General features: G+C 41.4%; 1 protein-coding gene across 7 annotated transcripts in view, besides 3 other annotated features; it reads left to right on the top strand.

The window, feature by feature from the left end:
- Positions 15,701 to 15,770: a silencer, noted in NCBI's record as "silent region_11378". NCBI's record gives its function as "represses an Ori minimal core promoter by ATAC-STARR-seq in GM12878 lymphoblastoid cells {active_cell/tissue: GM12878}" and the evidence as "EXISTENCE:reporter gene assay evidence [ECO:0000049][PMID:35858748]".
- HNRNPLL (heterogeneous nuclear ribonucleoprotein L like) overlaps positions 15,880 to 27,926 on the top strand; it is a 40,960-nt gene continuing 28,913 nt past the window's right edge. For 5 of the 7 annotated variants that reach the window (XM_011533165.4, NM_138394.4, XM_005264639.5 and 2 more), the window contains exons 1-2: positions 15,880 to 16,370; positions 27,160 to 27,278. In XM_011533165.4, the coding sequence (XP_011531467.1) occupies positions 16,182 to 16,370; positions 27,160 to 27,278 (308 nt within the window). In that variant the 5' untranslated portion in view covers positions 15,880 to 16,181. The remainder of the gene's footprint in view (positions 16,371 to 27,159; positions 27,279 to 27,926) is intronic. The other 2 variants (NM_001142650.2, XM_005264640.4) reach the window with 1 other exon arrangement.
- Positions 15,991 to 16,040: a silencer, noted in NCBI's record as "silent region_11377". NCBI's record gives its function as "represses an Ori minimal core promoter by ATAC-STARR-seq in GM12878 lymphoblastoid cells {active_cell/tissue: GM12878}" and the evidence as "EXISTENCE:reporter gene assay evidence [ECO:0000049][PMID:35858748]".
- Positions 16,061 to 16,160: a silencer, noted in NCBI's record as "silent region_11376". NCBI's record gives its function as "represses an Ori minimal core promoter by ATAC-STARR-seq in GM12878 lymphoblastoid cells {active_cell/tissue: GM12878}" and the evidence as "EXISTENCE:reporter gene assay evidence [ECO:0000049][PMID:35858748]".

Raw genomic sequence — 27,926 nt, 5'->3', positions numbered from 1 at the left:
AAGCTCCTTAGGTTAGTTAGTAGAAGTAAAATGAGTTAAATCAGTAAATTCAGGGCAAAGTGAACCTGTCAGCCAGAAGTTTTAGAAAGGGAGAGAAAGCAAGGACACAAATTGGCAGAAATTGCAGAATGTTTATGTGAAAACAAATGCAAAGGGAGCCAAGAATCCATGGGAATTTCACCTGGTATGATTCAAGTTCCATTCAAGTTGTGGTGTGCTGTTTGCTCCCCTTCCAGTTCTGACAATAGCACACCCTCTTTATGATAATGACAAAGACCACATTGAATAAAGTCAACAACAATTAGGGGCAAAACTATAGGTGGTCTAGCTAACTGAACCTTGGGGGACTATCTGGAGTGGAGCTTTGAAAGTGATTTGTGCCACCGATAAAATAATAATATTGGCTGGGTGCACCGTGCCTGACACCTGTAATCCCAGCACTTTGGGAGGTCAAGGTGGGCTGATTGCATGAGCTCAGGAGTTTGAGACCAGCCTGGGCAACATGATGAAACCCTGCCTCTACAAAAAATACAAAAAAATTAGCCAGGCAAGGTGGTGTGCACCTGTAGTCCCAGCTATTTGGCGGGCTGAGGTGGGAAGATCACTTGCACCCAGGAGGTGGAGGCTGCAGTGAGCCGAGATCCTGCCACTGCACTCCAGCCTGGGCAACAAAGTGAGACCCTGTCTAAAATAAAATAAAATAAAATAAATAGAAGAATAATATCAGAAGGAAAACAATTTATGTTACATAAAAAGGTTTAGTTAGACTCTGCAGGCTTGATAGTGATTGTAGGTACTTCCAACTGTTGTCTCTCGCCCTGACTTTGGTCAAAGTTAACAAAGACAGTGAATTGTGTGTTTGTGTATTCTTATTGTCCCACCAGTTGTTTTGTTGGCACCACTGCCTGGAAGAAACCCCAGGAACCCAGAACTGGGAAATGCTGGGAGTCTCTACTCCTGATGACCTTGGGAAACTGGTCTGGATTGGAGCAATGAAGCCTACTGTTCCTGAGTGGATGGTAGGAGAAAAAAAGAGTCAATGTGGAACCAGCTTCAGACAGAACTGGGATCCAGGGGCTCAGATGATGTCTTTAGGGCTGTTTTTCTGTCTCCTAGCTCTGCTTACCTCTTGCAGCTTCATTCTGAGCTTCTCCAATCCCAGGCTCCTATGTTCTTAGCTTAGTAAATCTGGTAAAAAGAGCCAGTCTTTCCCAATAGCTCTGACAAAAAACTCCTGGGGTTGATTCTGATATGTTCTACTTGGTCACATATATCTCTCTGGAACAACCAAGCAGACTAGGGAAATGGGGAACTCTGGTTGGCTTTGTCGGGTCACTTGCCTACTCTTGTGATGATGGCTGTGTAGCCCCAAGTGAGAGTTCAGCTCCAGCTGAGACACATGGATCGGGTTCCTCACAGGAAAGAGAGTTCTATCATAAGAAGGAGGAACCTGGCTATTAAAAATGAGAGCTGTCCATTACAGGTTCACTTACCACCGATGGATTAGAATCTTGCCCTTGTGTGCTGGCTAGCATAGCCCCTAACACAGATCACCTCATTCAATATAAAACATTCTAAACTTTCAGAATGGACACAGAACTGATTTGTTCTATGTAGCTTTAAGTGAACTTTAATTCAGAGTAATGATCATAGTACCTGCAGAAGTGATGCTATTACACTGTTACTTCATAGCTTCATAATATTAACTTGACAATCTGGTAACTGTGACCACGGCAGTGGCCAATGGTGGAGGAATACTTTTAGAGTCGGGGATGTGTCTCTATTGGTTTGCAGTGCCCAGCCTACTTTGAGCTAGGCTTCATCTCACTGTCCTTCATTATCAAAAGTTTTTGATCCACTTATTGGAATTTTTTGTCCATTGAAAAATAATGTAATGATGACTGCTTATGTAAATTTTACCTAAAAATGTCTACCTATGAGAAAATAGAATTTGCTTTACATCTTATTTATAGCGAACTTTTATGAAATACTTATTTTTAAAGTGAGGGACACCTGTGAAATATAAAACTGGGAATTGGTGGTGTATTTTTTTTTTTGTAAATCAGAGGTAGTTGGAATGTTCCCATACCTAGTCAACCCATGGAAACCAAAAAAAGTCATAATAACACTAAATGCCTAACTGAAAGGTTTCAATAACTTCCCCTCACAAAATCTCCACCAGTTAATCTGGGAGTTGTGAGCAAGTTTCCTGTATGTCCTTAGGAACAAGTCTGCTCATGTTCCTATGAAGGTCCAGTCTCCTGGCAGAAGTCCCTTGTTCCAAATCTGTTGGATGGAGGCGCTGGCCCTGTTGATGGGGCCCTTCCTGTAATTTCTGATTTTCTGCTGCCCTGTGCTTCACAGCACTTGGTGGACTGCTTTGCTCCCACTGTGTAGAAATGAAGGCAACGCCTCCAGCCCACTCTACCCTTTATTACCTGGGTCTCAGTGCTGTACATGCTGAATCTGACAATATGGCATGAGAAAGTTCCTTTGTCTTCTAACACTGATCTTCATAAAGACCTAATTGGGTCCACAGGACCAAACGGGTTGGGGTAGAGTAAAGGTGGAAGAGCCGAGAGGCCATGTTTTTCTCTCCACTCTCTTGAGATTCTTGCTCATAGCCTTTTACCTTTTCCTTTCTTCCTCAGCCTCCAAATTCCCCCAAGCCTCCAGGCATAGCTCTCCAAGTCAAGCATCAAATACCCCTGCACTTATTTATGGAATCACATATATGCCTCAGAACAGGAAAGGGTGATTGTCAACCATCTACATCTGCCTCTCTGGCAAGGTTTAGGCACTGGGTTACCCACTTCTCAGATATATTGCTTTGTAGAATAATATTATTGAGACTTTCTAAAACAGTTTAAAATCACCTGTTCTACCGGAGCAAGGAATAGAATGGCCATTTGAATATTGACAATTTTATTCTTTCCCAACCCTACAGTGTTAGAGTAGCCTACACTCTTTGTTCTATATTACCTACTTATGTTACTCAGCACATGTTCACAACTGAAGCTCTATTTCTTGTGCTCAAATTCACTAAATGAGAGAATGAACACGGTAGAACATTCTGCGAATGTTAGACGCTGTAATCCTTAATACATTTTTAAAAATAAAATTGAGAATTGTCAAAATATTTTAAGTAACTTTCCCATTGACGCCAAACATACATTAAATTCTTACTCAAATCCAGTGTTGGGTAGCAGTGATGGAATAATTCTGAATTCATTTTTTTCTTATACAAAATTTCCTTAGAAATTCTTTCTGATTTTGAGCAAGCTCCAAGAAGCATTCTGCAGAATAAGAATTATGGTTAGTACTAATGAGTCATTCTGTCCTTCTCCATCTGAATCACATATCAGTTCTGGCCTTATGGGTTTTTAAAAAATGATTTTGCAATCCTCTAAATAAAGTTTCCTTTGATGTCATTATAACGGGAGATTAAAATTATCTCTAATAATGAAACTGTATAATAACTTTTAAAGATTAAAACTCCTTAGAAGAGTTTGTGACTCACAACAGTACTCAATTTTAACCTTTAATATTTTTATTGCAAAAATATTAAAGAGGATGTTTAAAAACTTCAATGACTTCATCATCCTATTAGAAATGCCTTTTTAATTTTTCCAAATTTCCTCCCAGCTTTCTCCACATATGCACACATTTTTACATAGCTGTGATCATAGAGTATAACCCATGGTTCTCAACTCGGGGTGATTTTGCTACCTGTGGGGAGTTGGGAATGTTTGGAGACATTTTTGATTGTCACTACTGAGGATGGGTGGCGCTAGTGGTATCCAGGGGGCAGGGGTCAAGGGTGCTGGTAAACATTCTACAACGTACAGCTCCCTCTCAGCAAAGAATTATCTGGACCAAAATGTCAATGGTGCCAAGGTTGGGAAGCCCTGGTACACATGGTCACACTTTTAAAAATTAGACTTTTCAGGCCAGGCGCGGTGGCTCATGCCTGTAATCCCAGCACTATGGGAGGCCGAGATGGGTGGATCATTTGAGGTCGGGAGTTCGAGACCAGCCTGACCAACATAGTGAAACCCAGTCTCTACTTTAAAAAAAGCAAAATTAACTGAGCATGCTGGTGCATGCCTGTATCCCAGCTACTTGGAAGGCTGAGGCAGGAGAATCACTTGAACCCAGGAGGCGGGGGTTGCAGTGAGCCATGATCGTGGTGCCACTGCACTCCAGCCTGGGCAACAAGAGCGAAACTCCACCTCAGAAAAAAAAGAAAAAAGAAAAAAGAAAAATTAGACGTTTCAAAACTTTCCATCAAATAATAAATTGTTTTTTATTGTCACGAGTCTTATAATTACCCCTCAGTATATCTAGTTGACAATCATAATTTATCTAATGATTTCTTGACTCTTAGATGTCATAGATAATATTGTGAACATCTCTATGCATATGACTTCTATATTGGTTCGGACTAAACTTCAATTCTCCTGAGTAAAATTACTTTGACAAAGGATATTATCATTTTTATGGCTCTTATACTTGGTATGGGGATCTTATTAACTTTGGTAAAACGCATTTGTTATTAATAATTTATCAGAGAAAGTTAAAGTCTGCCTTTGACTATAGCTTCTAATGCTATTGTTTTGTAAGTGGGAAGTAATGGCACTGGGGGAGGGTTCTAACTGATGGTTTTAGCTTTTGAATAATGATGTCGTTTCACATTGCAGGGAGGATATCTCTTTACCCTCATTTGTGTTACCCACTGTGTCTGAAATCTCACATAAGTCTGTGGAGGAAAAAAGATATAACCATCTGCCTTAGCCTTCTTTAAGATATGAGTCCCTGGAATGGACACAGAGCGGGTTGGGACTGTGTCTTATTTATTCTTTTATCAGGGCCCACCACAGGGTCAGGTTGAAATGTTTATCATAAATGTTTGTTGAATGTAGGAGAGGTAACACATGAAGTGACTGAACGTAGCTGACTTTACTGGGGCAGACGACAGCAGAGGAAGCAGTGTGTTCCCATAAAATTATTGTTTTGTGGCAATGTTTTAGGATCCACAGATTTGTATGCCCGATCCACAGTAACAGGCCAGTTACACTGAGACAGCAGCAGAGGGTTTAATGATCACAGGGCGCCGAGTGAGGAGATGGGAGGAGAACTTCGAATCCATCCCTCCCAGGAGTTCTGGGCTGGGGCTTTTAAGGTGATCATGGAGGCTGAGGGGCTGGAAAACTGGAGTTGTTGATTGGTCAGGGTAAGGGGAATAAAATCATCAGGATGTAAAAACTGAATTCCTTGGTGAGTGAGCTCCTGGGGGTTCCTTCAGACCAGCTGATGTCAGTAGTGTTGTTGATACGTGGGACCAAAAAGAATATATCAAACGTAAAACTAAACATTTAATAATGTTCCAGTTGTTATCTATTGAGGAGTTAAGGGGAACTAAAATCTTGTAACAGGTTCTATGTGATTCTGAGGCAATAGCACCAAGCAACCATGAGGAAGCAGTCAGAGAGCAGCTGGCCTCATGATTAATGCTGAATGGGCGGTGAGCTTGGTTTATTTTTGTTTCTTCCCCTCCCTCCTTCCCTGATTAATTTTATAAAGTTTATAGGGATGGCTTCAGGAACACATGAAAATCATCGTGTTTCGATTTGTTCTTATAGTCATCATTATACTTAGTGATAAAGACTGTTGCTTTTGCTATCAGACTCTGCTAGAAATATTTGCTAACATTGGTGGTGGAAGCCAAGATATCAAAAGTCTGGGCCGGGCACGGTGGCTCACGCCTGTAATCCCAGCACTTTCGGAGGCCAAGGTGGGTGGATCACCTGAGGTCAGGAGTTCAAGACCAGTTTGATAATCTGGAGGTCCATAGGCAATCATCCTTCTCCACTACAAGACTGGACAGAGTTAATGTTTTAAAGTTGTGAAGTAGATGAAATTTGTTTTTGGTGATTTCAGCTTTCTTCACTCATTTTTTTTCTTCTGGCGTCTTCCTTCCCCGGGAAGGGCATCTCACCACACAGTGCCCTTGTGGTGCCGCAGCCATTCAGAATGCCACACCACAGTGCACATAGGATCCCTCAACACATAAGGCTGTGGCTACAAAATTCTCTCTCTTCTTTTCTCACCCAATAATTATTTCCCTCTAGTGCCCCACCACTAGCTGGATGATGGGGTGGAAATGCTGCTGCTTGTGAAAATAACTCAATCTGACTAGGTAGAACTATTTTGCCTTCCCTAGTTTAAAAGAACTTGAGTTTTGTCTTACTGTATACAGGACCAAAAGCAAAAATGATGGGCTGGGCGCGGTGGCTCATGCCTGTAATCCCAGCACTTTGGGAGGCTGAGGCAGGATAATTGCTTGAACCCGGGAGACAGAGGTTGCAGTGAGCCAAGATCCAGCCTGGGTGCCAGAGCGAGACTCCATCTCAAAAAACAATAACAAAAACACCAAAAATTATGTCTAAATTGCAGATATACACATTAGTATTCATGCAGAAGCATTTCCAATGATCGTTTTTGTACATTTCACTTATTTTTCTGTAAAAAACATTGCACTATGGAAACAGTCGAGAAGATTAGCTTTTTCTCTTCTCTCTTCCTGTGGTCATTTTGGTGCCAGTTGCAGAGTAGCTGAAGCCATCCTAGAGACTTTGCTTTCAGACTGAGATAAAATGGTGTATTAGTACCTTCTTCTTCACACTGAAATCTTATAATAAATTCTTATAATAGGAGTTGATTTGGTAATATGTTAGTTGATCATTGCGAACTTTAGTTCTCTTAATTTGTTGCAAGAATAATTTTTTTTTCAATTTCTGCTACTAATAAAAGATTCTAAAAAGAGCACACATGTTGGCCAATTTGCCAAGACTCCTACAGAGACTAGTAAGCCAAATATTGCATCCCTAGACTCTCTTGCAGCTATTATTACTTAAGCTTCAACAATCAGAGCCTCTATGTAAGATCCGGAAGGCTGTTTCTGCTGCTAGGCTTGGCTTTGGGTGCGTTTTTTTTCTTCTATAACAATGGTTCTGGAGGTTCCAGTGTTCACTTATTAGTTTCCTGAATATCAGGAAACATGGGGTGGTGCATCTACTTTGCCAGTGCAGATTATAGTTGGTATGGTGTGATTCTGGAGCTGGCCATGGAAGTGGCAGCTTCCTGATCGTGATGGCTTCCAGACTGTGGTATGGTGGCGTAGTGCTGGAGCAGTCAGCTTCACAATGAGCAACAGCACCGCTCTTTTGGTTTCCCAGTTCTGAGTTATGGTTTTGTGAGTCACTCCATTAATAGTTTCAGTTCTTTAAGTGCTTTAATACTTCTAGCTTAAACTAACCAGACTGGATTCTGTTCTTTGCAACTGAACTTTGGCTGATAATAGTCTGCTCTATTTGTTTTCAGGATCACTCATGTATTCATTGATCTTTTAGCAAATATTGATTGAGGGCCTTCTTATAAATAGGTGGCGAGATATATATATTTTTTTCCAGGGATGTAAAACAATGGTTTTAGTTCACACAAATTATAGGTTGCTTAAAAAGTTATATTTCTAGGGCCGGGCACGGTGGCTCACGTCTGTAATCTGAGCACTTTGGGAGGCAGAGGTGGGAAGATCACTTGAGGTCAGGAGTTCAAGACCAGCCTGGCCAACATGGTTAAACTCTGTCTCTACTAAAAATACAAATATTAGCTGGATGTGGTGATGGGTGCCTGTAGTCCCAGCTACTCAGTAGGCTGAGGCATGAAAATCACTTGAACCCAGGAGGTGGAGGTTGCAGTGAGCCAAGATTGTGCCACTGTACTGGAGCCTGGGCAATGGAGCAAGACCCAGTCTCAAAAAAAAAAAAAAAAAAAAAAGAAAAGATTATATTTCTAGGAAAGTATTTCCGTCTAAATAAGGCAGAAAAATCTAAAGTCCCAATTCCAATGTAGTTACCATAGATAGTTCATATGTCCTTATTGGTATAGTGAAAAGAAGATCGGAATTTAGAGACAAAAGATTAGTCTTTCTGAACTTCACCTGCCAAATGGACACAGTAAGGACCTTCCCTGTTAGCTTATATAGTTTCTGTGAGAATCAAATTAAGCAATGTTTGTGATACTGCTTTGTACATAGTAAAGTGCTATACAATGCTGGTTATTTATTTGTAGTTAGTAATAATAGTAACTTTATTCTCTAAAGTTTTCTACATCAGATGGTTACAATAGCACATTCAAATAAAACTATTTTTTGTTTGCCTAATTCTTCAATTAAGGGCAAATTCTTATTTTTTTTAAATTTTATTTTATTTTAATTTTAAGCTCTGGGATACACGTGCAGGATGTGCAGGTTTGTTACATAGGCAAACATGTGGCATGGTGGTTTGCTGCACCCATCAACCCATCACCTAGGCATTAAGCCCTGCATGCATTAGCTATTTATCCTGATGCTCTCCCTTCCCCTGCCCAAATTCTGATTTTTATATAATGATGTGCTTACAGGTAAATCAGAGAGTAATTACTCACTTTGTAAAGGAATTTCACTTTTGAAAATATTCACAATAGGAAAGTTTTTGTTAAAATGCTTCTCTCACATTTATTACAATTGGCTGATTTATAAATTTAAATCATATGCATTTTGGTACATCAAGTGCACAAAATGAGCCATATCTATGCAGTTATTTGAAAAATGGAATTATATTTTTAAGATGATTTCATTTCAAATATGGGTGAGGAGCAAATCATATTATAGATCAGTCTTTTGAGACATCTTCATAGACATAATTTGCAAAGCTGACATGCTCTGTTTCATGTGCTTCTTTTTCTTGAGGCAGAGAAAGAGAAGCTTAGTTTAGATCAACAAACATCTAGCCAGGCAATGTTCTAGGTGCTGAAGACACAAAGATGAATGAGATCAGTCCAGTCCAATCCTGTGCAACGAGGTAGCCACTTTTATGTGGCTATTGATCACTTAAAGTGTGGCTAGCATGACTGATATGGTTTGGGCTGTGTCCCCACCCAAATCTCAACTTGAATTGTGTCTCCCAGAATTCCTATGTGTTGTGGGAGGGACCCAGGGGGAGGTAATTGAATCATAGGGGCCAGTTTTCCCCGTGCTGTTCTCTTTCTCCCTCTTTTTTTTTTTTTTTGAGACAGAGTCTCACTTTATCACCCAAGCTGTAGTGCAATGGTGTGATCCCGGCTTACTGCAACCTCTGCCTCCCAGGTTCAAGCGATTCTCCTGCCTCAGTCTCCTGAGTAGCTGGGATTACAGGTGCAGGCCACCATGCCCAGCTACTTTTGTATTTTTAGTAGAGATGTGGTTTCACCATGTTAGCCAGGCTGGTCTTGAACTCCCGACCTCATGTGATCTGTCTGCCTTGGCCTCCCAAAATGCTGGGATTACTGGCAGGAGGCACCATGCCTGACCCCATGCTATTCTTATGATACTGAATAAGTCTCATGAGATCTGATGGGTTTATAAGGGGTTTCCACTTTTGCTTCTTCCTCATTTTCTCTTGCTGCCACCATGTAAGAAGTGCCTTTCACCTCCCACCATGATTCTGAGGCCTCACCAGCCATGTGGAACTGTAAGTCCAATTAAACCTCTTTTTCTTCTCAGTCTTGGGTATGTCTTTATTAGCAGTGTGAAAATGGACTAATACAGTGACATTAATTTTCTGGATTTAGGGGTGAGGGTGAGGAAAGTACTGTAATAGTTTTGGAAAGTAAATAGCAACAAGGGAAACAATGATACAATTCTGTTTAAAATATGTCCTATTGATTCAAATGTTCCCTAACATATTCAGAATGTAAAGACATCGCCTGCTTCAGAAAGCTGAAGATAGGGAGGGTGAAAAAACTGAGGTCTAACAAACCTACTGCATGTGTGATCTTTAGCATCCGTTGTCCTTTTTGTAGTAGTCTCAGTATCAAAGATCAGGAAAGGATGAGTGAATTAGTAAACTTGCTTACAAAGGAAACTTCTTTGATGGGGTGAGATGCACCCTTCCCAAGGTATTTTTAATTTGCTCAAATTAAAAGAGACAGAAAAGAAGAGCTGGGAGCTTAAAATTGAATTATTTTTCTTTAGGAGAAACAAAACAATAGAATATTCTGTGAAATAATTGGGAATGATCAAGAGCACTTAATATCTTTTTGTTGTTAAGTATGAGCAATTATTTGTTAATTTTATCCATATTTTCATATGCAAGGTGAATTTCATTTGGCAAATTCTATTCACTCTCAACTGTGGACAGAAATGCTATCATTTCGTTCTTTATTAAATTATAATGTATTAAAATTATTTTTTAAATGTCTAAAGCAATATCAAGTCACACAAGTCAGAGGGAAAAGTGAAAATAATTTAAATATTATTTCTAAGACTGAGGTCAAATGGCTGTAACCAATAACAAGAACCTGAATTGGCTGGGCGCGGTGGCTCACGCCTGTAATCCCAGCACTTTGGGAGGCTGAGGCGGGCAGATCACGAAGTCAGGAGATCGAGACCATCCTGGCTGACACGGTGAAACCCCGTCTCTACTAAAAATACAAAAAGTTAGCCAGGCTTGGTGGCGGGCACCTGTAGTCCCAGCTACTCGGGAGGCTGAGGCAGGAGAATGGCGTGAACCCGGGAGGCGGAGCTTGCAGTGAGCCAAGATGGCGCCACTGGACTCCAGCCTGAGCGACAGAGCGAGACTCTGTCTCAAAAAACAAAAAAAACCTGAATTTTACCTCTCATTATCGGGTATATGAGTGAGTACTTCTAAGGTTAATCTTTTATTTTTGCAGATTTATCATAATTTTTTTTTAAAGAGGTCAAACACTGTGGCAGCTGGATTCCCAGAGCAGCTGTGCATGACAGCTGATAGAGTAGACCACTGTGGTTACACTCGACTACATCTTGAGCTAATAGTGCTTGAGGCATTTCCTGCAGAGTGCATCCTCCTGGAACTGCGGCTTCTTTTGACCATTACTAAGCAAATATAGGTTGAATTAAAGGGGCTAGTTTCAGCAACAGTGCCACAGTACTCTTTCTCAGTGATCTCTGTCAAACAAGTGGCATCGTCAGAAATAGTGCACTCTGGATTTAACAAAACTTCATAGAAACTAACTGATTTGTCTCTGAATAGCTGGATTTCATGTTAAGTATGTTGTCTTAATCATAACACACCTCTATGGCTCTAATCCTTTGGAAGTGTGACTCACAATAAGATGTGCATGAAGGTTTTACTGGACTTTAACAGGAGTTGAGGCAGGAAACAAAAGTTTTGCATATTCAATGAAATGGCAGCAATATTGGAAATTGAGTTTGGGTATGAAAAACTTGTAATTTGCATCTTTAGTTATTCAAATAATGCATCCATCAGAAAATGGTGACACTTTTCACATAATTTCTGGGCTTTTTCTACAGAAATTAAGTTGAAGGCTAGGCACAGTGGCTCATGCCTGTAATCCCAGCACTTTGGGAGGCTGAGGTGGGTGCATTGCATGAGGCCAGGAGTTCACAACCAGTCTGGCCGACATGGTGAAACCCCATCTCTACTAAAAGTACAAAAATTAACCAGACATGGTGGCACAAGCCTGTAATCCTAGCTACTTGGGAGCCTGAGGCACAAGAATCAGGAGGCGGAGGTTGCAGTGAGCCTAGATCATGCCACTGCACTCCAGCCTGGGTGACAGAGCAAGACCCTGTCTAAAAAAATAAAAATAAAAAAAGTAAAAAATTAACACTAAAACAGTGCATTATATTTGTAATTTCCTGTGGAAGTAAATTGAATTTCCTTATACAAATGCAAATGATGAAAACTATAACGTATTCAATCCTTCCCAGGATTATAGCTACATAAACCCAGGTATAAATTAGTGAATGAAGCTGAGTTCAGTGGCTCATGCCTGTGATCCCAATGCTTTGGGAAGCTAAGGCAGGAGGATCTTTTGAGCCCAGGAGTTTGAGACCAGCCTGGGCAATATGGTGAGACTCCCGTCTCTACCAACAACAACAACAAAAAATAGCTGGGTGTGGTGGTATGTGCCTGTGGTCCCAGCTACTTGGGAGGCTGGGGTTGGGAGGATTGCTTGAGCCCAGGAGGTAGATGCTACAGTGAGCTATGATTGCGCTACTGCACTCCACAGCCTGGGCAGCAGAGTGAGATCCTGTCTCAAATAAAGAAATAAATAAAAAGGAGAAATCAGTGAATGAATTAGCATCATTATATAATAAGTGACTATAAATTAGATCTGTATGTCCATGGTAATAAATAACACAATAATTAAATCATCAGTCTTCTGATGACGAGTACTGGCTCTGGAACCCGATTGCTTGGGTTCCAGTCCTGGCTTTTCAATTTATTAACTGCAGCTCTAGGGCAGGTTTCCTTTTTTTTCTTTTCTTTTTTTTGAAACAGGGTTTCACTCCAACACCCAGGCTAGAGTGTAGTGGTGCAGTCACGGCTCACTGTAGCCTGGACCTCCCTGGGCTCAGGCAATCCTCCCACCTCATCCTCCTGAGTGGCTGGGATTACAGGCACGCACCACCATTCCAGGCTAATTTTTACAATTTTTGTGGAAACAGGGTCTTGCCACGTTGCCTAGGCTGGTCTCAAACTCCTGGGCTCAAGTGATCTGTGTGCCTCTGCCTCCCTCTGTGCCCAGCCTAAGGCAGGTTTCTTAATCTCCCCTAGACTGTTTCTTTAATTGTATACTGGGAAGAGTAATAATAATGCCTCTGGTAGAAGGCTTCTGTCAGAATTTATTGACAAAACCCTTTCAGTGGTTAGCACAGTGACTGGCACATTAAATGTGGCTATTAATTATTGTATATGTATTATTACATATGGATGCTTGTAGCCTATCTCTTGGGTATGAGCCTTGTTTCCACAACTTGATTGCAAGCTTTGAGAGGGCAGGGACCAGCTCACGTAGTCCTCTCATCACCTAGCACAATGTCTTATAAATTTTATAGATCAGTAACGAGATTTAAAACTAAAGGGCAATTTGAGGCTGGATTGATTATAAAGGCCCTTGACTCTCAATTTCCCTAGGCCTGCCCTAAGCCTGTCTCCTACTCCAGTATAGCTGGAGTCCCCTTTGAGCTGTGGCAATGGGAGCTCTTGGCTGCTGCCTACTTGACAGCAGCGAATTCAATCAAATGTTCAGAAAATAGTCAAAGGTCTGAGGCCGTAATGCATGAGAGGTTCCAGACAGTCATGGCATTTAGGAGCTGTTTCTGCTTTTCTTAGGTATTTCTGGCTACTGGGCAGTGTGTAATTTCTTTGTCTCACCTAAGTGAAATAATGTAGAGTATAATTTATGTCCTCTCTCTTTAGCTCCTCATGCCCTGGTGATGAGCTAGCTAGTATTTTCCTTATCAAAGGACCTACTGTCACTGTCTGAACAACTCATCTGCAACAAGCTCGCATTTCACCCATGGTTAACGAACTGATTGGTGTCCTTTAAAAATGCTTTCTAAGTTTTACTCCCTCAATATTTTTTTTTTTACTCAACTGGGCTACTTACAAAAAGAACAAAGTTTAATACTGGTACATATTGAATTCCACCTGCTGTTTGTGAACGCTGAGCACAGCAGCCCTAGGTTTGGCAAGGCTGGATTTCCTTACCCATTGGTGTGACAGTTGCATTGTAATGTGGTATAATCCATAGGTTGAATGCAGGGCTTTGAGAATTTAAAATATTTGCATCTTCACAAGAAATATTTGGAAAGTTTGTATAAGGCCTAGTAAATCCAGTTGTGAGTGAATAGAATTTACCAAACTAAATTCACCTAGCATATGAAAATGTACATAAAACAAAATTAACAGGTAGTTGCTCATACTTAACAAAAAGATATTTAGTGCTTCTCATCACACTCAATTATTTCACATAATATTCTATTGTTTTCTTTCTCCTAAAAAATAATTGTTTTAAGCTCTCAGCTCTTCTCTTTTAATTTGAGCAAACTAAAAATATCTTGAGAATGGCCCATCTCACCTCATCAAAGAAGTTTCCTTTGTATCAAGTTTATTAATTCACTCATCCTTTCCTGATCTTTGATACTGAGACTGCTATAAAAAGGACAATGGATGCTAAAGATAACACGTGAAGTAGGTTTGTTAGACCTTTTTTTTGACCCTTGGTATCTTCAGCTTTCTGAAGGCCAGGTAATGTCTGCATTCTGAATATGTTAGGGGACATATGAATCCATAGGACATATTTTAAGCAGAATTGTATCATTGTTTCCCTTGTTGCTATTTTACTTTCCCAAACCATTGCAGAGCTTTTTGCCAATGACATTTTCTCATCCGCAGCCAGCTCTGCCACTCTTTTGCTATTTCTTCTGTCGACTTCCATTTTAATTTAAAAAATAAATTTATAATTTTTTTAGTTCTGTTTTGTCAATGTATACCTGCAGCCGCACACACATTTGATTATAGCTGCATAGTGTGGAAAATCTTGCAATTAGATTCCAAAATGACAGCCGGTGTAATTTACAAAGTACAAAAGTGTTATGTTAAAGCACTCTCAGCAATAAATAAAAATAGCTTTTTTGGAGGAGGAAATAACTTTGGAGAGAACTAGGCTGGAGGAGGAAGCAATCTACACTCTTAGGAAAGGAAGAGCCACATCTAGGAAAGCATCCGAGGGACAAGGACAACAGAAACACAAGAGGCTCTTGATCTCAGGCAGTCCTCCAAGAGGCACCTGACAGAGGGCAGTTAGGTTGCCTTGATTTGCCAGTTTCTGTCCTGAAAGATACACTGGACCTTTATTTCCCAAGGACTACTCATTCAGCATTGTTGAGCACCTAAATTGTGCTGGAGATCGCACAGGAACTGGGCTTGCGAAAATGAAAATTGCACACAGTTCCTGTCTTCAGGCGCTCACAGAGTTTTTAAAACAGAACATCTTAAGAGGGAGTTATAAGGGGCCCTGTTGCAAAAAGAGAGCAGCAACTAAAATCTTGGAAAAGCCCTCAGGACACCACAGAGGAAGCAAGCTGTGATCACAGAACTTTGAAAGGCTTTTGTATCTTTCGACAATAAATGATCAAGTGAAGTAAATACATTGTCCAGAAGAGAAAGAATTGGGATGGAGGATGAGATTTTATATGGAAGGATTAAAACATATTTAACTGGAGCAGGGACTTACAGGGACAGGCAAGTCAGTAAAGGGCCCAGGTTACAAACGAGTTATAACCGATCAGACCGACGAGCGCCCGCGTGCAGCGCCTCCTGCCGACGCGCGCCTCGCAGCCTTCAGTCAATGCTGACAGCTGTTCTCCAACACCCAGCTAGGGGCGGGAGGGTCCGCCCACTTCTACCAGATTTTGCACACAAAACAGTGGAAAGACCATTCTCATGGCTCCAAGCCGTTTTCTCCCTTCATCGCCTGCAATTTTAGGGCTTTTCGGGGGGTATGACTGCAGGGATTTTAGAGGTTTTTTTCCTCATTCTCTTTTTAAGAGGTGATAAAAAGCATTTAAATTAGCGGCAGGGCGGTTAACACCCGCAGCCCTAGCCTCTCCGCACTTCTCGTCGCTCGTCCGTGTTCACTCCACGCCTGGCCTCGGGTAGGAGCCGCATAGCGCCAACGGTTGCGGGTCGCAACTACTCCCAGGCGGCGCGCCTTGCGCGCCGGGCCTCCCAGGACCGCGGCGAGTTCAGAAGGCGCGGGGAGAGAAGTGAGGTCGAGCAGCGGGCGGCTTTTGACGAACGGCCCTCACAGCCAATGGGAAGCCCGGTCGACTTTCCCGCCCCTGCCAATAGGGAGCAGAACCCGGGCCGGGGGGGGCGCTTCCCGCAGGCTGCGGCTGGATTCGATCCTGCGCGACGGCCGCGAAGGCGGGGGCGGAGGCTCGGCCTGCGCGGCTGGGAGCGGCTTAGGGGAGGAGGGAAGACCGGAAGCCACGGTTGCGTCCCCATCCTTAGATTCGCTCCTCCGGGCAGGGAGCGGAGACGGAGGAGGAGGAGGGAGAGGCTGAATGTTGGCTCGGTAATTGAGAGGAGCGGCCGCTCCAGAGCTTCCTCCCGGGGCGCCCCCCTCAGTCCGTCCGCGCTTCTCAGCCGCCAGTCTCCTGGCCGCGCAGTCCCCGCGGACGGCCGGGCCGCGGAGACCCTCGCAGAAGAGGCGCTGCCGGCGGCGAGGACTGGCCGGCGGCATCCGAGGCGCGCGCCCCACCGCCACCCCCACCCGCCTGCCAGCCGGTCCCTCCGGCCGCCGCCATGTCCTCCTCCTCTTCCTCCCCCAGGGAGACGTACGAGGAGGACCGGGAGTACGAGAGCCAGGCCAAGCGTCTCAAGACCGAGGAGGGGGAGATCGACTACTCGGCCGAGGAAGGCGAGAACCGCCGGGAAGCGACGCCCCGGGGCGGGGGCGATGGCGGCGGCGGCGGCCGGAGCTTCTCTCAGCCGGTAACAAAGCGCGGCCCCCCTGTCCGCTGTGCCTGGCTGCTCCCCGGGAAGCAGGGCCTCGGTGCGGGGCCTCCCGCTTGCTTCAGTTAGCCTTTTCCGCTGCGCCGACCCGTTTGGGGAAGCGCCCACTCTTCTCTTTGGGGCTCGTATTCTGGCCTCTACCTGTTTCCCGCATCCCGACTGCGAACCCGGCGCCGTCCTGGCCGCAGGCCCCGCAGCGAGTCCACTGCCGGGCCCTGAACTTGGGGAGGGTCGCGGCGCGGCGGCGGCGGCGGGGAGGCGTCGCTTCCGCTCTGGGGGGTTTCGCGGCTCGGGGAGCTCTTTGTTAGTTTAACTCCTCGGGCTCGGGGCCAGCGTCGGGACCACCGGTTCTCTTCAGTCCCTCTGCCCGCAGCAGCCGCGCGTTGGTCACCATCCCGGGATGGTTGCGTCGGTTCTACCGGGAGCTCTCTCCGCCTCGGTCCTATGGAGACCCGTAATTAAATAACAGATTATGCCTTGGCGTTCACATGCTAGTTCCCTTGAAGGTTTAATTTAAAAAATTTTAAAATTAAACTCTTTATAAGCATGGCGTGCATCCTTTGCTCTACCCAATTTTGTGGATTACTCAGTACACTTTTTACCTCTTCGGTTACAACACTTCAACAGAAGTGTTGGCAGCTGTTGGTACACCCCTACCTTCAAGTAAAACAAATCTTAAAATTACTAAAGTTTTTCATTGGTAATTTATTCCACATTTGCCCCATGAAAGGATGAAGTGAGCTCAGGGTTGCATTAAACACACATTCCTAGAGCCAGGTCTTTCTCTTACCAGAAATGTTAGGGGGAGGCAGAAGGAATGTGATCATTTTGTCCACAGCAAGTAGTTAGCTTCAGTTGGATGGAGACTTTAAGGAAACAAAGCGGAGCAAACGTTATTGCCCTTTTTTGGTGCACTTAAGCGGTTTTAATGACTTAGATGTTATTTAAACATTTAACACATGAATTGTGATTAATTCTGCAAACTTTAACAGAATTACGAAACTGTACACATATATCCTACTATTAGGTTAAAAGGGTTTTTACCTTACCTTTTAAAAATAAGACGCACATTAGAAGCCCTTTATAGCCGTTTGAATTTTTAAATAATAAAAAAAAAGGCTGGTCAGTCACCCAGCGTTGCAGTTTCCAGTTACCAGGATGTGAGAGCAAACTTTGCAACACATTTAAAAAAGGAACTTTTTCTCTCAGTCTTGTTACGGTGTTAGCTATTACTTTAGATTTTTGTGCCGAGCTATTTGAAATATTCAAAATGTAACTTGGAAGTGTGAATAAAGGAAATGGTTTTTTCTTAGGAAGTTTCAGTTCAAAGCCAACTCTGTTGTGGAAATTGGAAACAGGAATATTATAACTGATATTTCGATGTATTCGATCAGTGTACCTCGTTGCTAGAAATCTTGCTTGGGTTTTTGTGCAGCATCATGAAATGTCTTCAGGCATTTTGGAAAGATACTTAAATCAGATTATAAAAATTTGTTTTTGAAAACAGATAAAGCATTAAATCAATAGTATTATTTTGGATGTTGGGAAGAAAATAACATATAATTAATGTATCCAAAGCGAAATGTGTGGAGCGGTGGAAATGGCACTGAGTAGGGCTTGGGGGTGGTCAAGAGTCTAGGCTTAGCATACAATTTTTTTTTTTTTTTGAGAGGATCTCACTCTATGGCCCGGGGCTGGAGTGCAGCAGCTCTGGAGTGCAGCAGCTCGTGATCACGGCTCACTGCAGCCTTGATCTCCCTGTCTCAAGCGATCCTCCTACCTCAGCCTCCCGGGTTGCTGGGACTGGAAGCCTGCATCACCACGCCGGGCCAATTTTTTTTTTCTGTGTTTTGTAGAGAAGGGGTTTCACCATATTGCCAAAGCTAGTCTCTTAACTCCTGGGCTCAAGAGATCCACCTGAGTTGGCCTCCCAAAGTGCTGGGATTACAGCCGTGAGCCACCGCACCTGGTCTTAGCATACAATTTGTGTGAGTCTGAGAAAGTCAGTTTACTACTCTGAGTTCTCTTAGTCTGTAAAATATGAAGGTTGAAACACATGCCTTTTTTAACCGAAGCTATAGTTAAGTGATTAACGTAATGCTAATGCTGCTTTTAAGTTACCCCGGCGGGAACTGATATAAGCAGATTGAGGTATAAATTTTAATTTTTTTGTTTATCTTACTGCTGATATGTTTCCTAGGAAAGGGTGAATTGTTTTCATTTAACAGTAAAACCATCATTGTACTATGAAATCTAATGAAGCCTTGTTTATCTTGTTTTTAAATATTTTTCATGTAATTTTTGGTACTATTTTGAAATCATGGCAACTATGGAAACCTGTACATAATAAAATTCTATTATTAGGATAGACGTTCCCCGGATAGAAGTTTACTGTCTTGTGCTTCTTCGTTCACATGTTTGGTAATTCATTGTAACCGAAAAGGGTTTTGCACAACTTCAGTGGTCCTTCAGCCCAGAGAAGAAATACCTTTGTGGTCAGACTGTTAAAGTAAATGCAGGTTAGGTACAATGATGGCATTCTTTTCAACTCTAGTTGGAAGTTTGTAAAGTGCAAAGTAAGCCTTTGAAGATTTACATTGCTTGGTTTTTTATGATTAACCTTGAGTGCTTTGATAATATATTGACTACATTTAAAGAGGAAAGTGAGTATTTAAGAAAAACATAGTGGTTCTACAAAGGCTCTTAACTTAGAAATGAATGGATAATTGTGAGTGATCATTATGTTGAAGGTACAAAGAGAAATGAGAGAAGAGTTAATACTTTGGATATGAGAAATAAAACACCCTTCAAATTTGTGTCTTCTGGTACCTTTTTTTAATAGAGCAAAAAACTCCTAGGGTTTTTCACATTCACTGAGCTGCATTGTTGAATAAGGCTTGATTATAGAGGTTCCTGCCACATATTATACAGTTACTTTTTTCTTGTGGAGTAGTGTTCTTAAATTTAATAGGCATGACCTTCAAGATCATATTAAGTTTCTGTATCTTCTTTTAAGAAGGCAGCTTGACTTGGAAATATTAAGGCTTCACTTGGGAAAACCACTTGAGGAATTGGGATGGAGTGCTAATTTATTTTGGAGATTTTAAAGTTTTTCTGTTTTCTGCTAGTGAATAAACAGGCAAATCAAAGATTATTAAGTGGTTTGCTGATGAAGTGAAAATTTGTTTCTCAACTTTTAGTAAATAGACGTGAAAGATGGCAAAATGCCAAGATAAAATTGTTGCTCCTAGGATTTCCAAACAAAGGATTATACAGCACATTGAAAATCCAGTTTGAATTCAGGATACACTATTCTGTTATACTTGCACAATGTAAATTACTAATGATAGCAATATTACTGTGATCTGTTAGATGCATATGGGTTGGGAGATGGGATGAGGTCACTTAGCTCTCACAGGAGAAGTTTAGAAGACTGTGTAGTAACTACTTCATGGAAATAAAGTAGTTAAAGGATGTGTGCCCCAGAGGTAAGTGCCAGAGCCTGAGGCTTGCATAGCAGTAGTGTCTTGTGTCTCCTCCAGCGAAGCTGTTCTAGTAGAGTGAGGATTTTTAGGCCTAGTTTGGGGAAAGAAATGAAAAGTAGTAGGTTTTACCATCTTTTGGTTTTAGACTGTTTCTTCATGTTAGTATGTTACGGTGAAAAGAGCTGTTCATAGAGCCAGTAGCACAATCAAGGCAAGTGTATTGGCTCTGCTTACAAACTTTTTCACTTAACCTCTCTGGAACTCAGTGATCTCTAGCCTCATTTAAAACACAATAATTGAGCTTCTACCATATGTCAGGTGATGGGGCTATAATAGTGAAAAAATGTTACATATCTAAAAATCTGGTTCTACATCATATATTGCTTTTTTTGCCTCCATGAAATTGAACACAACTTTCAGGGCTTACAGCCACAGCAACAACTCAGATGAGCTTAAGGAAAACAAAAAGGGAGCGGGGTAGAAGATTTATTGGCCCATGTAACTGGGAAAGCCAAATTGTGACACTGGTTTTAGGAATGGCTGGATCCAGGGATTTGGATGATGTCATAGGGACTTGATTCTCTTTCCATGTTTCAATTCTCCTTTTCTCTGTATAGTGGTAAAGCTAGGCTGACATTCTTATAGCTAGCAGCTAAAGAGCATCCTCTCTTTCCCAGCCCGTATTTATCCCTTCTTATCAAGCATTTTTGATCTTCCCCTCTTCCCCCGTCTAATTAATCACCAGGCCACCTCTGAGGTTGAGGAGGCATGACTGTGTGATTGAAAATACCAATGTATAATAATAATACGGAGTTGTTTTGTTTTGTTTTTATGTTTTTATTTTTAAACAGAACGGGTAAGGAATTCTGGGTAGGCAAAACCAAATGATTTCTATTACATGAGCAAAAAAAAAAAAAGTTTGTTTTTTAAAAAGTTACTTGACTTGGCCGGGCACGGTGGCTCACGCCTGTAATCCCAGCAATTTGGGAGGCTGAGGCAGGTGGATCACGAGGTTAGGAGTTCAAGACCAGCCTGGCCAAGATGGTGAAACCTCGTCTCTACTAAAAATACAAAAAATTAGCCGGGTGTGGTGGCACGCGCCTGTAATCCCAGCTACTCCGGAGGCTGAGGCAGAGAATTGCTAAACCTGGAGGGGCGACGGTTGCAGTGAGCTGAGATCGTGCCACTGCACTCCAGCCTGGGCGACAGAGCGAGACTCCGTCTCAAAAAAAAAAAAAAATAAAAAAAGTTACTTGACTCATATGGCCATAATTTTACATCTTTGCTCTGTTATGTGATCAAATGTACCTAAAAACTTTGGATAGGAAAGTTAGTTTCCCTATGTTTTAGATGTGCTTCTTTACAAAGAGAAAAAGACCAAGAGACATAATTATTTAATTTAGTAGGGAAAAAATGTGATTAAACATCGCGTGGGTTAAAATGATATTTACAGCTGCCCGTTAAAACTTTGTCCTTTGTTCTATATTAAGTGTCCAGAGTAAGATAGGGGATAGTTTTATGTCTGGAAATACTGTACTTATTCTTGGGACTGCATTGATAAATTTTAATGTATCCAGAAAGCTTACCAGAATGGAGAAGGCACTAGAAATTGCATCATAAAAGGAGTGACAGAAGAACCTGGAGGATATTTCGCCTGAAGAGTAAACTTAGGTGTGACTTAATAAATCATTACAAATATCGGTAATTGAAAGATTATGTAAGAGAGGGAAATGTGGATGAGGTAGGATGTGCCAACTAATGTTTATTGAACCTTTGTTTATACTGTACTGAGCTTTTCTTCTCTTCAGTAGAGTTTAGTCCTTAATATGCAGTAGTCAAAATTAGCATTTAAAGTTAGTATTGCTGTGAAGAGGGAGTTGTGAAAAAATAAAAAATAAATAAAATATTGTATTATTAAGAGTTTGTCCCTGAAATGGCCTTTGAAGGGCTGAGAATTTGAAATGTCTGTAAGTAGACTGGTCTAGAGCCTGTAGTAGAGACCAAATAATGCTGCCATTACAGTTAACCCAATTAACCTAAAGAAGAGATTATGTAAGTTTGTAAAGTGCATGTATGTTGCAAGCATGCCTTCTTTTTCTGGGTACGCAGCTGGGATATTGTTTCTAGTCTGGTAAGCAATAGATACAGAAAGAGAGAGCCTAGGTAACTAAACATCTGAAATGGAAATAACTTGGGCTCCTGTATGAGGAAAGATTAAAAAAAGGACTCCTTAAGCTGGAGAAGACATGACCTCAATATTAATATATTGTTGGGGGGTAAAAACAAAACTGATTTGTTCACCAGTTTAGGAGTCAAGATTCATAGTATGATGCTTAAAAGAAGTTATTTTAGAGTAGGTAAAATAATCTCTACAGGCGGGGCGCGGTGGCTCACAGCTGTAATCCCAACACTTCGGGAGGCTGAGGCAGGTGGATCACTTGAGGCCAAGAATTCAAGACCAGCCTGGCAAAAATGGTGAAACCCTGTCTCTATTAAACCACAAAAATCAGCCAGGTGTGGTGGTACATGCTTGTGGTCCCAGCTAGTCGGGAGGCTGAGGCAGGAGAACTGCTTGAACCCAGGAGACAGGTTTGCAGTGAGACCTTGTGCCACTGCACTCCAGCCTGGGTGATAGAGCGAGACTCTGTCTCAAAAAAGAGAGAAGTCTCTACAAATGACACCAGATTTCTTGTCACCAGTATATAGTACAGGTAAAGAAGTGATTTAAGAACAGTATGAGTATTTTGGGGGAAAAGGGGGAAAACGAAGCTCAGGAGAGGATGATGGTAGACAAATAGTTGGGAAAGATACCTTTGATACATTGGTTTTATATTTGGAAACAGCCATAGGTTTTTTTTTTTTATCACTACAGAAAGAATGAGAAAATTGTGTGTTAAAGAAAAGGGGACATAATTTAAAAATAGAAATATCCAGGTAAATAAACTTATGAATGGCAGATTCATTGAGTGGGAATAAGGGAAATACAAGGTGGGTGAGGGGTATGTTTTCTGCCTTGAGGTTGAAATAATCGTTATCTTCCCCTAATTACCATACTGAGTATATTTAACATTGTCCACCCTTTTTTTTTGAGACGGAGTCTCGCTCTGTCGCCCAGGCTGGAGTGCAGTGGCGCGATCTCAGCTCACTGCAAGCTCTGCCTCCCGGGTTCACGCCATTCTCCTGCCTCAGCCTTCCAAGTAGCTGGGACTACAGGTGCCCGCCACCACGCCCGGCTAATTTTTGTATTTTTAGTAGAGATGTGGTTTCACCATGTTGGCCAGGCTGATCTCAAACTCCTGACCTCAGGTATTCGCCTGCCTTGGCCTCCCAAAGGGCTGGCATTACAGGCGTGAGCCACTGCGCCCGGCCCACATTGTCCAGCTTTTAAGTGATGACTGTGGTTTCACTTTATTCCACTTAGGAAATATAATTAAATAATAATATATTAAAAGGAGATTTTTTTTGAGAGATTTAAAAATCGATTGTATAATCCATTTCTTTGTAAGAAGACCAATTTGAAAAATAGTTATATTTTTTAGCACTATACTCATGATAGTGGTTACCTATAATGGGAAGGGAAGGGGGTAGTAAGAAGAGATGTGATCAATTTATTGTTTTGTGTTTTTTTCTTTTCTTTTTTTTTTTTTTTTTTTTTTTTTAGACAAGGTCTTGCTCATCACCCAGGCTGGAGTGGCACGATCTTGGCTCACTGCAACCTCCACCTCCTGGGTTCAAGCAGTCCTTCCACCTCAGCCTCCTGAGTAGCTGGGACTACAGGCGTACCCCACCACGCCCAGCTAATGTTTTGTTTTTTTGCTAAAGACGGGGTTTTGCCATGTTGCCCAGGCTAGTCTCAAACTCCTGAGCCTCGAACTCCTGAGCCCGCCTCTGCCTCCCAGAGTGCTAGGATTACAGGCATGAGCCACCACGCCTGGCTAATAATGTTTTATTTATTAAATTGGATGGTGGGTACATGGTTATTTCTTTTTTTTGAGATGGAGGCTCTGTTGCCCAGGCTGGAGTACAATGATGTGATCTCAGTTCACTGCAACCTTTGCCTACTTGGTTTAAGCAATTCTCTTGCCTCAGCTTCCTGAGTAGCTACAGACGTGCACCACCACGCCCAGCTCATTTTTCTAATTTTAGTAGAGATGGGGTTTTGCCATGTTGGCCAGGTTGATCTCGAACTCCTGACCTCAGGTGATTTTGCCTGTGTCAGCCTCCCAAAGTGCTGGGATTACAGGCATGAGCCACTGTGCCTGGCCTTGGGTATTTTTAATAAAGTTCTTTATACCTTTTTTCAGGCTTTAAATATTATAAAATAATTTTGCAACTTTTTATTATATAAAATGTTCAACTTAACGTATATCCTTCACTTAGATTCAGCAGTTTTTAGCTTTTTGCTGTGTAGGGTTTTTTTCTCTACATCTGCATATCTATATTTATATACATACTTTTTTCCCCTATACTATTTTCCCCTAAACTATTTGAAAGTAAATTTCAAACATCATGACATTTCATGCCTAAATATCGCAATGTTCCTAAGAATAAGGGTATTCTCTTACATAACCATTACTATTTTCTTACTAAAGACAGTGATAATTAATTCTATTATGTTAACCTAATATCCTGTCTGTATTCAAATTTTCCTAGTTGTCCCTAATATGTGTTTGATAGTAGTTTTAACTATTGTCTAATAAAGGCTCACATACAGCATTTGGTTTTTTTGTTTGTTTTTTGGTTTTTGGTTTTTTTTTGAGATGGAGTCTTGTTCTGTCGCCCAGGCTGGAGTGCAGTGGCGCAATCTCGGCTCACTGCAAGCTCTGCCTCCTGGGTTCACGCCATTCTCCTGCCTCAGCCTCCAGAGTAGCTGGTACTACAGGCACCTGCCACCATGCCCGGCTAATTTTTTTGTATTTTTAGTAGAGACGGGGTTTCACCGTGTTAGCCAGGGTGGTCTCGAACTCCTGACCTTGTGATCTACCTGGCTTCGCCTCCCATAGTGGTGGGATTGCAGGCGTAAGCCACTGTGCCCGGCCAGCATTTAGGTTTTTTTTTGTTTTTTTTTTGAGACGGAGTCTCACTCCGTCGCCCAGTCTGGAGTGCAGTGGCACAATCTCGGCTCACTGCAGCCTGTGCCTCCTGGGTTCAAGCAATTCTCTGCCTCAGCCTCCCGAGTAGGTGGAATTACAGGCGTCCTCCACCACACCAGAGACGGAGTTTCACCATCTTGGCCAGGCTGGTCTGGAACTCCTGATCTTGTGATCCACCTGCTTCAGCCTCCCAAAGTGCTGGATTACAGGCATGAGCCACCACGTCTGGCCCAGCATTTGGTTGCTGTGTCTCTTAGTCTCCATATAGAATCTTCCCTCCACTGGTTTTTGATACTAACTTTTTGAAGAGTTCAGGCCAATACAGTTTTCTGTCGTCCTTTTATTTTACCTTTGCCACCTGATTTCTAAGAATGAACTGAAATGATTCTCTTAATTGTATCTTGCAGTTTATTATTTTCTAATTATTTTGAGAGTAAAACTTGTTATACTTTAAATACATGCTGTGTTTGGCAGGTAGGTATTATTTAGAGCTCTTCCTGCTTTATTCATTTCCAGTTATATTTAAGAATGTAATGATGATACATGCACATTTGCTTGTTGAATTTCATCTAGACAGAGTCTGATTGTTAATGTTGCTTAAGAAAGTGTTGATTTACTTAGGGTATAGTCAGAATGATTCATTTCAAACTTAGTGGCATGTAAGGGATATCTGTTTAACCATAGGAAAGACGGAGCATAAGCAATTCAAATAAATTCCAAGGATAGAATTAGTATTGGCAAAGGACTGAGTTTATTTTTTGGATTTGACAGTAGCGTGAGTAGTTCTGTGGTTACTTTATATATTTAAATCAGTTCCTTTCTTTCAGTTGTGACATAAATTTTTACTGGCAGGGCACTCCATTTGTTATATTTTCCTAACAGTCTTTATAATAAAGAAAAATTGGTGAGTCATTTAAAATAGCCTTAAAGAAATTTAATTTTCTTAAAACAATTGTTAAATTTTAATGGTAAAATAGCGCTTTCAGATTAGTCTTGTTATAGGAGAAAAAAACTTTAAAAAATTTCTTTTTGTATAGACAGGGATGTACACGGTGGAAGTCATTTCTGAAGTTACGATGCAAGAGAAGTGCCTGATGGCATTTGTAAATACAGATCTTTGTCTTAATGGAACTTGAATAAGTAAATGAAAGCTATTTGCATTTTCAAAGTAATTCGTACAGATACTACGTTTAAAAATAAACTTTAAGACCATATTCTTACATTTTGAAACATCCTGCCTGGCATACTCGAAGATACACAATATTCCGTAGATGCCCAGGAGGGCTTGCATTTTTGAGTAGTTCTTATTCATCCCCCTGCCTTGCAAAGATGGTACCCTTGTATAAATTTAAGTTGTCATGTGTTTAATGAATTAATACTGCTAAGTGAGTATCCTCAAGTTATAGTGGGACTAGATAACCAATTAAACAAGAACAAAAGATGATACAAATCTACTACGTTACAGGAAAGATAAGTATATTATCTTCATGTTGAGGAAAAATTTTTGATTGGAACTTTTTGTTCATTTGTACTAGTTGAGATTTTGATTTTATGGAGGTTAATGAGTATCAAATATACTTCCAGTTGTAGCATGCCCTATGTATCTGCTAAATTTTCTTTCTGAGATTTTCTTGAAGTTGAAATATTATTAAATAACATCTTTGTACTTCTTACTGAGATAGAATGCTCCCTTTTAAGAAATTAAAAATTTTAAAACAAACATTTATTTTATTCTCATATCCTTTTGCTAACTTGTGAATTGCGATTTGGTTTGGGATTAAAAAAAATGTTTACTTTTTAAGCAGGTTTGAATTTACTGAAAGATGCAATTCAACTTAGACTTAAATTTTTTTTGTTTTTTTTGAGATGGAGTCTCACTCTGTCGCCCAGGCTGGAGTGCAGTGGCGCGATCTTGGCTCACTGCAGCCTCCACCTCCCGGATTCAAGCCGTTCTTCTGCCTCAGCCTCCAGAGTAGCTGGGATTACAGACACGTGCCACCATGCCTGGCTAATTTTTCTATTTTTAGTAGAGATGGGGTTTCACCATGTTGGCCAGGCTGGTCTCGAACTCCTGACCTCAAATGACCCTCCCACTTTGACCTCCCAAAGTGCAGGGATTACAGGCGTGAGCCACCGCGTTCGGCCTTAGACTTAAAATTTTTTTAACTAGAAATTATTTTCTCTTGCTAGGAGGCAGGTGGAAGTCATCATAAAGTTTCTGTTTCACCCGTCGTCCATGTTCGAGGACTCTGTGAATCTGTGGTGGAAGCAGACCTCGTGGAAGCGCTGGAAAAATTTGGGACAATATGGTAAGGATGATAGGGACTTCATGTAGATTGAAAACTGTGGTAGAATAATCCTTGCTTGCTTGTTACAAGCCTTGATGTTTAGCATAGTAAATATTGTTTGTATATATAAACAAAGTAGTATCTATTGTTTGCCTATGACTGTATTTCTTTGGAACGTTTTAAGCCTACTATTTTTAACCTTCCTGGGTGATGCATGAGTGTATTTTTGTGGAGCTATGATCACTTCTCACTCCCCAGCAAAGTTGTATAAAGAAATTATGTGTGCTTTTCATCTGATTTTCAAATGAGTCCGTGAGTCCTGTTCAAACACTCTTTAAACCATTGAGTTGATTACATGCTTCATCTTCAGAGTTTCAAGTAGTGATGCTTAAATATTGATTTTTTTGTTGTTCTTGATTTTGGAATATTTAGGAATTAATTGGCAACTAAAAGTAAGCAGATTAAGGGTAGGCATTATTTGTTTAGGTGCATATTGCTGTGAGTTCTTTTGTTCATGTGCATATTGCTGAGTTCTTTTTATTTTTTGAGACAGGGTCTCTCTCTGTTGCCCAAGCTGGAGTGTAGTGGCACATTGATGGCTCACTGGAGCCTCCACCTCCTGAGCCCAGGTTATCCTCCCATTTTATCCTCCCTAATAGCTGGGACTAT

The sequence above is a fragment of the Homo sapiens genome, chromosome 2 (assembly GCF_000001405.40).
Source record: "Homo sapiens chromosome 2, GRCh38.p14 Primary Assembly".
Lineage (NCBI taxonomy): Eukaryota > Metazoa > Chordata > Mammalia > Primates > Hominidae > Homo > Homo sapiens.
This window is presented reverse-complemented; position numbering and strand designations above follow the sequence as displayed.